General features: G+C 59.2%; 1 protein-coding gene and 2 non-coding genes across 8 annotated transcripts in view, besides 3 other annotated features; 2 read left to right on the top strand and 1 right to left on the bottom strand.

The window, feature by feature from the left end:
* DNM1 (dynamin 1) overlaps positions 1–11,452 on the bottom strand; it is a 51,866-nt gene that overhangs the window by 1,236 nt on the left and 39,178 nt on the right. For 3 of the 6 annotated variants that reach the window (NM_001005336.3, NM_001288738.2, NM_001288737.2), the window contains exons 16-22: positions 7,506–7,615; positions 6,523–6,634; positions 6,074–6,085; positions 5,256–5,426; positions 3,653–3,894; positions 3,069–3,284; positions 872–908 (exon numbers count right to left, since the gene is read on the bottom strand). In NM_001005336.3, the coding sequence (NP_001005336.1) occupies positions 887–908; positions 3,069–3,284; positions 3,653–3,894; positions 5,256–5,426; positions 6,074–6,085; positions 6,523–6,634; positions 7,506–7,615 (885 nt within the window). In that variant the 3' untranslated portion in view covers positions 872–886. The remainder of the gene's footprint in view (positions 1–871; positions 909–3,068; positions 3,285–3,652; positions 3,895–5,255; positions 5,427–6,073; positions 6,086–6,522; positions 6,635–7,505; positions 7,616–11,452) is intronic. The other 3 variants (NM_001374269.1, NM_004408.4, NM_001288739.2) reach the window with 1 other exon arrangement.
* Positions 3,113–3,202: a silencer, noted in NCBI's record as "silent region_20333". NCBI's record gives its function as "represses an Ori minimal core promoter by ATAC-STARR-seq in GM12878 lymphoblastoid cells {active_cell/tissue: GM12878}" and the evidence as "EXISTENCE:reporter gene assay evidence [ECO:0000049][PMID:35858748]".
* Positions 3,213–3,712: a silencer, noted in NCBI's record as "silent region_20332". NCBI's record gives its function as "represses an Ori minimal core promoter by ATAC-STARR-seq in GM12878 lymphoblastoid cells {active_cell/tissue: GM12878}" and the evidence as "EXISTENCE:reporter gene assay evidence [ECO:0000049][PMID:35858748]".
* Positions 3,883–4,022: an enhancer, noted in NCBI's record as "active region_29075". NCBI's record gives its function as "activates an Ori minimal core promoter by ATAC-STARR-seq in GM12878 lymphoblastoid cells {active_cell/tissue: GM12878}" and the evidence as "EXISTENCE:reporter gene assay evidence [ECO:0000049][PMID:35858748]".
* MIR3154 (microRNA 3154) lies at positions 8,979–9,062 on the top strand. The gene has a single exon (NR_036110.1). It is a non-coding gene; the product is annotated as a microRNA 3154 (primary transcript).
* On the top strand, positions 9,179–9,288 carry MIR199B (microRNA 199b). Its single transcript, NR_029619.1, has one exon. It is a non-coding gene; the product is annotated as a microRNA 199b (primary transcript).

Raw genomic sequence — 11,452 nt, 5'->3', positions numbered from 1 at the left:
CTGCTGGGAAAAGCAGAAGAGCGAGAGTCAGTGGCAGGAGAATGGGGGGTGGGCTCACTGGGCGGAGCTCAGCTGGGCCAGCAGGCACGGTCGTCCCCTTGGCTGAATGGCACAAGTGACCCTAGGAGCAACAGGCCAAGGTGCGTGAGCCCGCTGGCTGGCTACGGTGCTTCAGCTGGGGCCAGGGACACTGCCTTCAGTCACACTAGCAGCTATGACGGTACCTGGGAGGGAGGGAAGGGGGCTGTGTGTCCCTGCCTGGCCTGTGAGGTATGTCGTGGGATGACCGTGTGTATGGGACTCTCAAGCTTTTACCCTAGGTCACCACTGGATTGCCGGCAGATAGAGGAGGTGGGACCCTGACTCTCACCCCTGCTCTACGGTGGATTTGGCTCTCAGCACTCCCAGGCTGGGAGCTGGATGCCCTACCCAGGGAGCATGACTCAGACTGCACACCACGCACGGTGTGCCCAGGATAACGTTCCTAGGCCTCTGGCCGCCTCAGAGTCCAGCCCCACACACGACCCCCTCCAAGCTCCCAGCCTTTACACCATAAACCACGAGCTCTCTGCCCTCTCTGACGGCTCCAGAGAGCACCCATGTCTGCCAGCTTGGGCGCGGAGCCTGTTCCAAGAGCCTCCAGGCTCAGCCATGGAGGCCTTGGGCAGTGGCACTGAGTCCCGAGGCTCGCAGGGAAGGGAGGTGAGAGAGCCAGCGGCACAAGGACAGAAAGAGGAAAGAGCAAGTCTGCAGCTGCAGAAGGGAGGGGCGGGGAGCCTGGCTCTGAGGTCCCAGGTGCGCGCCCCGTGTGGAGCTAGTGCAGCGGGGCAGACACACCGTTCATGCAGCAGGCGGTGAGGCATGTACCTACCATGGCTGACGCTCCTCAGGGGTCACTGATAGTGATTCTGAAAGACAGCACGAAATCAACATGGCAGTTCACACGCACGGGTGGGGCCGGCCTGGGGGTGGGGGACACACACACGCACACGCCCGGGCGTGCACACACATGCTGTGAGGCCCCATGGCCCACATGCACACGCTAACACACATGCCCACAAACAACACGCATACGCCTCCTTCCCCGCCACCTCCCAGTGCCCAGCACCCTCACTGGCCGGCGGCGCGTGCAGCATGGATCTGGGGCATGCAGCCACTCAGCACACTGAAGCACACGTGTGGGCAGAGTCACAACACAGAAGCTCACCCGCACACAGAGGCATTTGCACCAGCTCCCTGCACACTCGTGCCTGGTGTGCTTAGAGGATCACCCGTGCTGCTCATGGAGATAGGGCTTGCTCGCTAAAGTCCAGCTGTCATTTCTCCACCTAAGAGCCTTCTGTGGTTCCCTACTGCCCACAGCATTGAGCCCCAACAAGTCAAACTTTTCAGACTTTGAAGGTTCTCCACCTTGCGCCCCACCCTGCCCACAGAGCTCTTCCTCATTCTGTCTCTGTTCTCTGCTTTGTCCAGTGGCTGTCCTCGTTGCAGCCCACACTACACCTCTGCCCACACTGCAGCTCTTGGCCCAGATACCCTCCTGATTCCTTGCCACGTAAGCCTATCTCAGCCATGCCTCAGACTGCACTGAAGTCAGGTTGCCTTGAAGAAGCTCTCCCAGACTGCTCTTTTCCCCAAGGTAGGGTCATGATTTGCCAAATGTTTCATGTGTGTTAGCAAGACTGGAGTTGGGGCAGGCATCAAACCTTACATCACAGATCTCACACCGCACCATAGACCTGGGTGCCAAATACCCTGAAGAATCTGAACTCACGTTGGCAGTTAGCAAAGTGCTCCTACGGCTGCATCTGCAGTTAACACAGCATCCCTATAGCCACTGTCTCCCTCGATCCCCACAACCGCCCTGGGAAAAAGGCAGAATGTCATCATTTGATAGAAGGGATGCTGAGGCTCTGGGAGGGAAAGAGACGTGTCTAAAGGCCCAGGGTGAAGCAGCATCTCTGGACTCCCAGTCCAGTCCTCTTGCCCAATACCATGCTGCTTGCCTCTACGCATCTGCTTTGGTCATCAGAGCATCATAGGGCAAGCCCCAATCCCTGCCTCATTTTGGTTTATGGGTGCTAGACCGACAGCCCTACCCTCCAGCCATGCAGAAACAAAACAGATGCTATTGTTCTGCTGTGTTCTTCCTTAGAGAATGTGGCCAGTGGAAACAGGGCAGACTGGGAATTGGAGTGAACTTCCTTGAAAGAGAGTCATGGGTCAAGAAGGTCAAGCCAAAGGATGTAGTAGAAAGCTTTTCCCTAGAAATCTTTGGGAATGAAGCAGGCTTCAAGCACTCCCATCCCTGCCCCTGCCGCCACCCCTACCACATTGGTTTAGACTGGGTAGGGCCAGAAGTCGCGGAGGGGGTGGTTGGGGGGAGGAAAAAAGCCATCAGTTTGCCCACGGCCCAGGCTGCTTCCCCAGCTGCTCCTGTCCTAGCCCGGGCCTGGGTGCCATGCTTACACTCTCACACTCGTGTGCACGCCCACACACACATCACACACCTTTCTAGTCACACAGTCACAGCCTGGCCTCTGCTCCTGTGGGCCAGTGGCTGGACACCCCCTGGGATGGCTCAAAGGAGTCAGGGCTGGGAAGTGGGGACATCAGGGTAGCTGAAGGAAATCCACACACTCAGAGCAGATCGGGGTTCAGAGTCAGACCTAAGGTAGGCTCCCCAGGGGCTGGGAGAGGAATTGGACGGAATGGAGGATGGAGGACAGCAAGAAGAAGAAAGGAGGAGGAATGCAACGTGTGGGCGGCCGCCAAGAGTGAAAATAGAGGGAAGCGCCATGCAAGTGCTGGAAAGAAGGGGGCAGGTGGGACGAGCCCCACAGCCCCCTCCCCAGAAACGACCACCTCCGGGACTCAGCGCTCCCTCGGGGGCAGGCTCCGCCAGCCCTCGGCCACACGTGGCGTGGCTCCGGCACCCAGAGTCCGATTGCCTGGGATAGAAACGGCCGGTTCTGGCGGCCAGGTCCGATGCTCTGGAATCCAGCCCCATTTCCCTCCCGGCCACGCCCGTCCGGCAGCCTCTCCAGCCGCATTCAGCCCCTACTCACCTGGGGACCCCGGGCGGGGCGCGGTTGGGGCGCGAGGGCACCTGAGGGGGAGGGCCGAAAGGGTCAGGGGAAGCCCCCGGCCTGGAGGGCACGGGGGGCGCCCCCCCCAGGGCGGACCCAGCAGGCGGAGGCCCAGGAGCAGGGCCCCGCGACCCGGGCCGGGCTGGGGGCACGGCGGGGGCTCGGCGCTGCGGCGTGGGGCTGGACGTGGGCGACCTGAGGGCGACAGGGAGCGAGGAACAAGGAGAGGCGAGATGAGCAGCTCCGCCCACCCAGAGGCCCCGCCCCAGCCCAGTGCTGGCCACGCCCATGCACGCAAGCCCCTCCCTGCCGCACCCCTAAGGCGGTCGCCGGAGCTTAAGCCCCGCCCCCAGCGGCGCCAACGCCCCAGCTCCACCCAGCCTTGCAGCCAGCTCTCCACGGCAAGCCCCGCCCCGCGACAAGCCCCGCCCTCTCTAAGCTCCGCCCCTCGCTCCAGGTGGGAGCCACCCCGGTGACGCGGGCGCGCCACTGCCCGGTCCCGGCATTCCTCCCGCGGGCCCCGGGCTGGGGGGCTTTGGGGCCGTGGGGGCCGGCCCTGGTACCTGCGTCCGGCCGGTACGCTCTGCACCTGCAGCCAGGAGTCGTCCACGGGCGGGGGCATGGGCGTGCTGACGGTGGTCGTGTTGATGTCGCCGATGATGCTGAGCGCCTCCTTCAGTGCGTGGTACATGCGCAGCATCTCGTCGCGCCGCTGTGCCTGCTCCGCCGACTCCTCCATCAGCGTGTTCTGGTCCCCACACGAGTACAGGTTGGCCAGCAGCTCCGAGAAGATGAACTCCTTGGTCTGCGAGTAGGCAAAGAGGGAAGGAGGTGGGGACCTGATGCCTGTGCCGCCCTGGCCGCCCCACCGGGCCCTGCTGGGACTGTGAGCTGGTGTGGCTTTTCAGACGCGGCTCCTACACTGCGTAGACTGGAAGATTCACCTCCCCACCGCGCTTTTCTCACTCAGATGAGGACACTGAGGTCCACAGGAAAAGTCATCTGACCAAGGTCACAGAACCGGGAGGGGACTTAGGACCTATCATGCCACCAGAACTCTTGTCTACTCAGTTGTTTTTTTTTTTCTTCTTCCTGGAGATAGGGTCTCGCTCTTTCACCAGGCTGGAGTACAGTGGGGAGATTACCACTCACTGTAGCCTCAACCTCCTGGGCTCAAAGTTATCTTCCAATGTCAGCCTCTCCAGTAGCTAGGACTACAGGCACGTGCTACCACCAACCCCAGCTATTCTTTTTTTTTTTTTTGAGACGGAGTTTCACTCTTGTTACCCACGCTGGAGTGTAATGGCACAATCTCAGCTCACCGCAACCTCCGCCTCCCGGGTTCAAGCAATTCTCCTGCCTCAGCCTCCTGAGTAGCTGGGATTACAGGCATGTGCCACCACGCCCGGCTAATTTTGTATTTTTAATAGAGATGGGGTTTCTCCATGTTGGTCAGGCTGGTCTCAAAATCCCAACTTCAGGTGATCTGCGCACCTCGGCCTCCCAAAGTGCTGGGATTACAGGCATGAACTACCGCGCCCGGCCAACCCCCGCTATTCTTTAAAATTTTTGTGTAGAGACAAAGTCTCACTGTGTTGCCCAAGCTGGTCTTGAACTCCTGGGCTCAAGTGATCCTCCTGCCTTGTCCTCCCAAAGTGCTGGGATTACAGGCATGAGCCACCGTGCACAGCCCCTCATTATATTTCTTCTTCTTTTTTTTTTTTTTTGAGATGGAGTCTCGCTCTGTCGGCCAGGCTGGAGTGCAGTGGCAGGATCTCGGTTCACTGCAACCTCCGCCTCCTGGGTTCAAGTGATTCTCCTGCCTCAGCCTCCCGAGTAGCTGCAATTACAGGCTCACGCTACCACACCTGGCTAATTGTTCTATTTTTAGTAGAGATGGGGTTTCACCATGTTGGCCAGGCTGGTCTTAAACTCCTGACCTCACGTGATCCACCTGCCTTGGCCTCCCAAAGTGCTGGGATTACAGGTGTGAGCCACCGCGCCCAGCCCCTCATGATATTTCTATTGGACAGCTCTGGTCTGGACCGTGCCTCCCTCCCTGGACCTGGTCCCATAGGGCTGGTTGGCATCTCCCCCAGGCCAACATGGCCACCTGCATCCCCAGTGCCACAGGATTTCCCTGCCCCCATGCAGTGGAGCACGCACATTGTTAATCATGAGGTGCATGATGGTCTTGGGCATGAGGTCCCTCACGGTCTTGTTGACAATGGCCATGTATGAGTCCACAAGATTCCGGATGGTCTCCACTTGCCGTTCCAGCTGTGGGTCCATGGAATGCATGAAGCTGTCGGAGCCATTCTCCTCGGTCTCGCTGGCCTGCCATGGAGAACACAAGGGCATCAGGTGGCCAGGCCATGCAGCCAGGCTCCAGGCATCCCCAGGATCTCAGCCCCTCCAAGGGTACCCAGAATATTGAGGCACAGAGAGAAGCGACTGGCCTGAATACATACCTGGCTCCGCATCCCTGTGCCTCTCAGGACCCTAGACTCCCCTGATTCAGCCTTGTCTTGGTTCTGACTCTAGTGCCTAGAATTTGCCTCAATTTCCCAATCCAGAAATTATTATTATTATTATTTTGAGAAAGTCTTGCTTTGTCACCCAGGCTGGAGTGCAGTGGTGCTGTATTGGCTCATTGCAACCTCCTCCTGGGTTCAAGCGATTCTCCTGCCTCAGCCTCCTGAGTAGCTGGGATTACAGGCGCGCACCACCATGCCTGGCTAATTTTTGTATTTTTAGTAGAGGTGGGGTTTCACCGTGTTGGCCAGGCTGGTCTCGAACTCCTGACCTTGTGATCCGCCCACCTCGGCCTCCCAAAGTGTTGGGTTTACAGGTGTGAGCCACTGCGCCTGGCCCCAATCCAGAAATTAGAAAAGAACATCTCCAGGTCCCTTGCTTGAAAACCTGGCTGGAGCTGGTGCCAGGCTGCAGATGCCTGGCAGGAGGCAAGAGAAGGGCACACTCACTTTCTCTTTGTCCTGGGAGGCCCACACACCAACATTGCCACCGCCGCCACCACCAGGGAGCACAGCCGAAGGAAACACAGAGAGGAAAAGGGGAGAGATTGAGTGAACCTGGGATACTGCACCCCAACTCTCAGGCTACTCTAGACATCGCCACAGTGAAATAGGGGAGAAAAGAGAAGGCAGTCACAAGAAACTACCATCATAGAAAGGGGATGGAGGAAATGCCATCTGCAACAGAGACAGAGACACAAAACTGCCACTGGAGAAGGATGGGAATACCAGGAGACTTATCTCTGTTCCCACCCCCAGAGTGGGTAGGGGGGAGGATTCCTATTATTTCTGAGCCAAATAAGGGCTCGGAAACATGGCATGACTTGGCATCACTGAGGATGGTGCCCCAGGGGCCCTAGGATCATGCTTGCCCTTCCTCTCCTTGCCCTGCCACTCACCCCAACACGCTCAGGGTACACGCCAGCCCTCAGGAAGGAGGCCTTCCAGCTGTCCACCTCCTCCTGTGTCTCACAGGCTAGCTCCAGCTGCCGATAATCCTTGTAGACATTCCTGCAAGATAGGGCAGGCAGTGAGGGCAGATGGGCAAAGTCTGACCCTCCCTGGGGGTTAAGGGCATGCCCAGACTTTGGGGTCAACATGCCTGAGGCCAGCTCATTTCCCAGCTGTGTGACCCTGTGCAAGTCCCTTCCTCTCAGCCTCAGTTTCCTCACTGGGAAGATGGGTTAATAATAATTCCTGCCTCCTTGGGTCACTGAGGATTCAGTGAAGTGAGTGGTAAAATGCTTAGAAGGGGACTGGACCTTTGACAAGAGGACAACCATAGTCAGTGAAGTCTCTAGCTTGGGGCCCAGATCCCACCAGCTTTCTCCGTGGCTCTCTAAGGACCCCTCTGATGGCCGCTGGACTGAACTCTCATCTCCGAGTAGCAGAGGGCCCACTAGAGTCAGCCTTGGGTCAGGAAGGAAGAGGACTAGTACTGCCACCACCCTATAGGAAAGAGAGCAGGAGAAGAGGACCAGGCCTGACTAGGGCCCTTTGGCTCCAGTGCCTGGCAGAGTGTCTCATGAAGAGCATGCACTATACCAGTGACTATGGAAGGGAGGAAGGGACGGAGGGAGGGAGGGAAGGGGAGAATGGAAGGAAGGGAGGAAGGGAGGGAGGGAGGAAAGGAGGGAGGATGGAAGGAAGGAAGGGAGGAAGGAAAAGAGGGAGGGAAGGAGGAGGGAAGGGAAGGGGAGGGGATGGGAGATCTTGACATGATGTCTAGCTCAAAGCAGGAACTCAATAAGCATCTGTCAGTGGATGGCTTGCTGTGGGGCCTAGGGGAGGTTCCTCTCCTCCCTGGATCCCTGTACCCAGCTTCTACTCAGTGAGGGTGGTTTTGGGGCTGCAGCAGCCACAGCCAGGGGCAGGCAGGCACCTCTGCTCCGTGTTAAAGAGGGCAAAGATATGCTTGCTCGACATAAAGCCCTTCTCCACGTCCCGCAGCTTGAGGTTGTCCACAGACAGCATGTATTTCTTCTCTTTCTCCTGTGGGTGCAGGTAGGAGCAATGGGGTGAGGTTGGCACTGTTCTCTGCCACACCTCACTCTCTAAGAGTCCCCCTGACTGGCCCAGGGCTTCTAAGCATCAGCCCCCTCCCACTGCGAAGGTGCAGCTAGATAAAAGCCTGGCCACGGACCGTAGGCCTCCTGGGCACCGCCGACCCCCGCAGAGCCAGTCCTACCAGCTCTGCATATATGCCGGGGGCCAGGGGGCTGGTGAGGGGTGGGGAGGCTGAGAGTGGCTCCCAAAATCCCTCCCCAGGCAAGTCCTGGATACAAGCCAGGCCAGCCTCAGGCAGGGACCGCACACTCAGGCCTCTCTCACCCCCGGCCTGGCCGCCTCTGACTTCATTTCCTGACTGCAGAGACCAGGAAGGGGGGCCACCAGACCCGGCGGCTTCAAAGGGCCGGCTCAGCCCACTCCCCCGAGCTCCCCATGTGTTAGCAATAAGGCAGCCAGCACAAGCCTGGAGATGGTGTGCCTGTGTGTGCAACATGTGTGTAGTTGTGTGTTTGTGCCAACACATGCAAGCCCAAGTACATATCCTATCAGCTATTGTGTGTGTGTGCACATGTGTATCTGGGGAGGTGCCCAGCATGAACCATGTGTCGGTGTCAGCGTGTCTGCATCTCAGTGTGGATGTGTGCACACTTTGTGGATGTGTGTGGCAATTGTGCGAGCCTACATGTTTGCAGAGCCATGCCTGTGGACTTATACTGGGGTACACATCTTACCTGCACACCGTGGTACAATGGGCTGTGTGTTTGATTTATCTAGAGCTGTCTGGGAGGAGTTATGTGTATCTGTGCACAGGCGTGTGGGGTGCTAGGCCCATGTGTGTGCTCGGTGTGGGCACATGTGTATGTAGGCTGCTGTGTCCCAGGGGAGGGGTTCAGGGATCTAGGGAGGAGGTACCCCAGGATGGGGCTCTGGGAGAGGGGAGGGGTTTTTGTCACCCATGCCCTACTTGTTCACGGGGGTCGTCTGTGTGGGCCTCGGGGACTCAAAGAGGTTGGGCATGAGCCTTGCCTAGGATCTCAGGTGGGGGGCTGGGTTTAGGGGGACCTTGCTCCCCCGTCCTGGCGTCATCCCGCCCACCCCTCTCTGCCCCCAACGCCCCCCTGGCCCATGCAGCCACATAAAGCCCTCTTTATGCCAGGCGGGTGGCCGGGAGCCCCAGAGGGCGGCTGGGGGAGGAGAGGAGGAAGTTGCACACACGGCCAGGGAACATCTGGAACCGTTCGAGAGAGGCCCCGCCACCACCCGCCCTGTGCTTCGGGGTTGGACACTAGGTAGGAGCGGCCTCCTCCCCCCACCCCTCCCTTCCTGCCGGCCGGCCCCCTCCTCAGGCCCCTCCTTCTCAGCCCCAGCTCCCGCTCACCCCTGCCACGTCAAAGGAGGCAGAAGGGGAGTTGGGAGCAGAGAGGGGACCACGGGCTGGCTGGTCTGGGGCTAGGGGGACACAGGCTGGGGTTGGGGGGTTCTCGGATCTCCAGGGGATGGGGCTGAAGCGCCCACCGGATGGACAGACACTGCTGCCTGGATGGACCAGAGGACACCTCCACTCCGTCTACCCAGTGTTTAGACTATCTGTTCAGGACTCCCAAATTGTACAGTAGTCTGCACATTGGTTAGGCTGGGCTGGGTTAGACCCTCGGCACCGCCGCCACTGGAGAGCTGGACCGACCCCTGCCTGCCATCCCAGAACCGGAGCCTGGAGCCAGGGGGTTGGGGCACAGGGCGGGCTGGGAGGAGGCACAGATGGATGGGGGTGCCACCCTGTGTGGGACTGGTTGGGGGTAGCGGTGATGGGGGAAGGGTGGCCGAGGAAGACTGAGAGGATGGGGGGGTCAATGGGGACTGGGGATGTGGGCAGCCGCCGGTCTGCCCAAAGAGCCTCCCTCACCCCAAAACCTGAGGGCTGGTGGTTGAGTAGAGAAGTACAGACCACTCTCCCACCAGCCTGGACCACCTCCACATCCCCAGTGGTCCTAGTGCAAGAATCCACTCACATTCAACACACACGCACCTTGACACTCACAGCCCCAGAACTCACACACATGAGCACCCCCACACTTTCAATCTCACACCCATGTCCCACACGGACACACACAAGTGCATGCACACACACCCATACACACCCTCACAACTGGAACACTCCCCCCATCCTCACATCCCAAAGACATACACAGATTCTCAAACACCCCATACTCACACCCTCCCTCCTAGAGCCCCCTCCCCACACACACCTGCTTTTACACCCCAAGCACAGGCAGGTGCCCAGAGTCACTCCCCAGGCACACAGATTTCACCCCCAGATGCAAATGCAGACCACATATTCCAAACACACCTAGATGCTTATACTCCAATCACACTCCTAAAAAACACCCACACACCAGACCCACAAGCCACACACACACACACACACACACACACAAACACACCCCGCCTCCCAGCACCCACAGCCCACAGCTGACTCCCATCTCCCCACATATGATTCTCAGAGCTGTTTTCGCACACGACTTAACTCAGATGTACACAAAAGCTCCAGAAAGGCCTGCAGGCTCAGGCATGAGATCAGGGGACCCCCTCAGTGGCACGTGCCCCTCCCCCACAGTGTCACCCGGTCTCCGGCCCTCAGCCCCAGGTCACATGGTCTCCCTGGCCCTGAGTAAGGAACCTCAACATGGGAGACCCCAAACCCATGGGGGCATCTAGGGAGCCTGCAGAGAGACCGGCAGGAAGCCACCCCCCACCCGCACCCCATGCCACTGCACACTCCATCCCTTCCAGGGGCCCCCATGGTGGGGGAGGCCAGGGTTGGGGTAATGAGGTCCAGATGGCTTGGCGCCCCCGCCAGTGACGACAGAGGGCCCCTCCCAAGGTGGAGAGTTGGGGCCCCTGCCCAGGACAAACTTGGAGGAGACAGGGACCTGGGAGGGGGCTTGGAGGCCAAAATCACAGGCCCCACCCAGAGCCCCGCTCCCCCGTTGAGGATGCTGTAGCCTCCAACAGCCCCCTCAGGAAGAAGAGGGTCCCTTCCCCCACTCCTTGGCCAGCTGGAGTTCATTACCACAAGCCCACCCCCAGCCCTCCCCATTCTCTCTGGTCACCTCTGGAATCCAGATGTGAAAGCCAAATAGACTCATTCTTAAAGGAGACCAGCAACAGGGGAAGGAGGTGGCAGGGGCTTCTGTGCACCCTAGTGGGCGGGGAGGGGTTTTTTGTGGCACCTCGGCAGGGCCCCCACACTCCTTGCCCCTCAGCCTGAGGGCACCCTGGTCATTTCCCTTGGACTGCAGGGGTCTAGGGGACTGGGGTGCAGGGGTTAACCGGGTGTCTGGCAGCTAGACTTGTGTGTGTCATGGGCCTGTGGGGGCCACAGAGGAGGCGGCACGCCCTGCAGCGGGAAAACAGGAAGGCTGCTGGGCTGCAGGGTCAGGGAGGGGCACCCAAGTCCCCTGCCCACCCTCCCCAGGGCGCTTAGCCCCAGGCTCCTCAGTCCTGCCAAGCTACCTTCTCCTTCCAACCTGGGTGAGAGGGTGCCTCCCCCTGAACCCCCAGGGTCACCTGCCTTGGACCCTTGCATCCCAACTCCACCCGTGGATCCTTTTTTTTTGAGATGGAGTCTCACTCTGTTGCCCAGGCTGGAGTGCAATGGTGCGATCTCGGCTCACTGCAACCTCCGCCTCCCGGGTTCAAGGCATTCTTGTGTCTCAGCCTCCCTAGTAGCTGGGATTACAGGCGCCCGCCAACACACCTGGTTAATTTTTGTATTTTTAGTAGAGATGGGGTTTCACCATTTTGGCCGGGCTGGTCTCG

The sequence above is a fragment of the Homo sapiens genome, chromosome 9 (genome assembly GCF_000001405.40).
Source record: "Homo sapiens chromosome 9, GRCh38.p14 Primary Assembly".
In the NCBI taxonomy this organism is placed as follows: Eukaryota; Metazoa; Chordata; class Mammalia; order Primates; family Hominidae; genus Homo; species Homo sapiens.
Note: the sequence above shows the minus strand (reverse complement) of the source record. Positions and strands in the feature narration are given on the sequence as shown.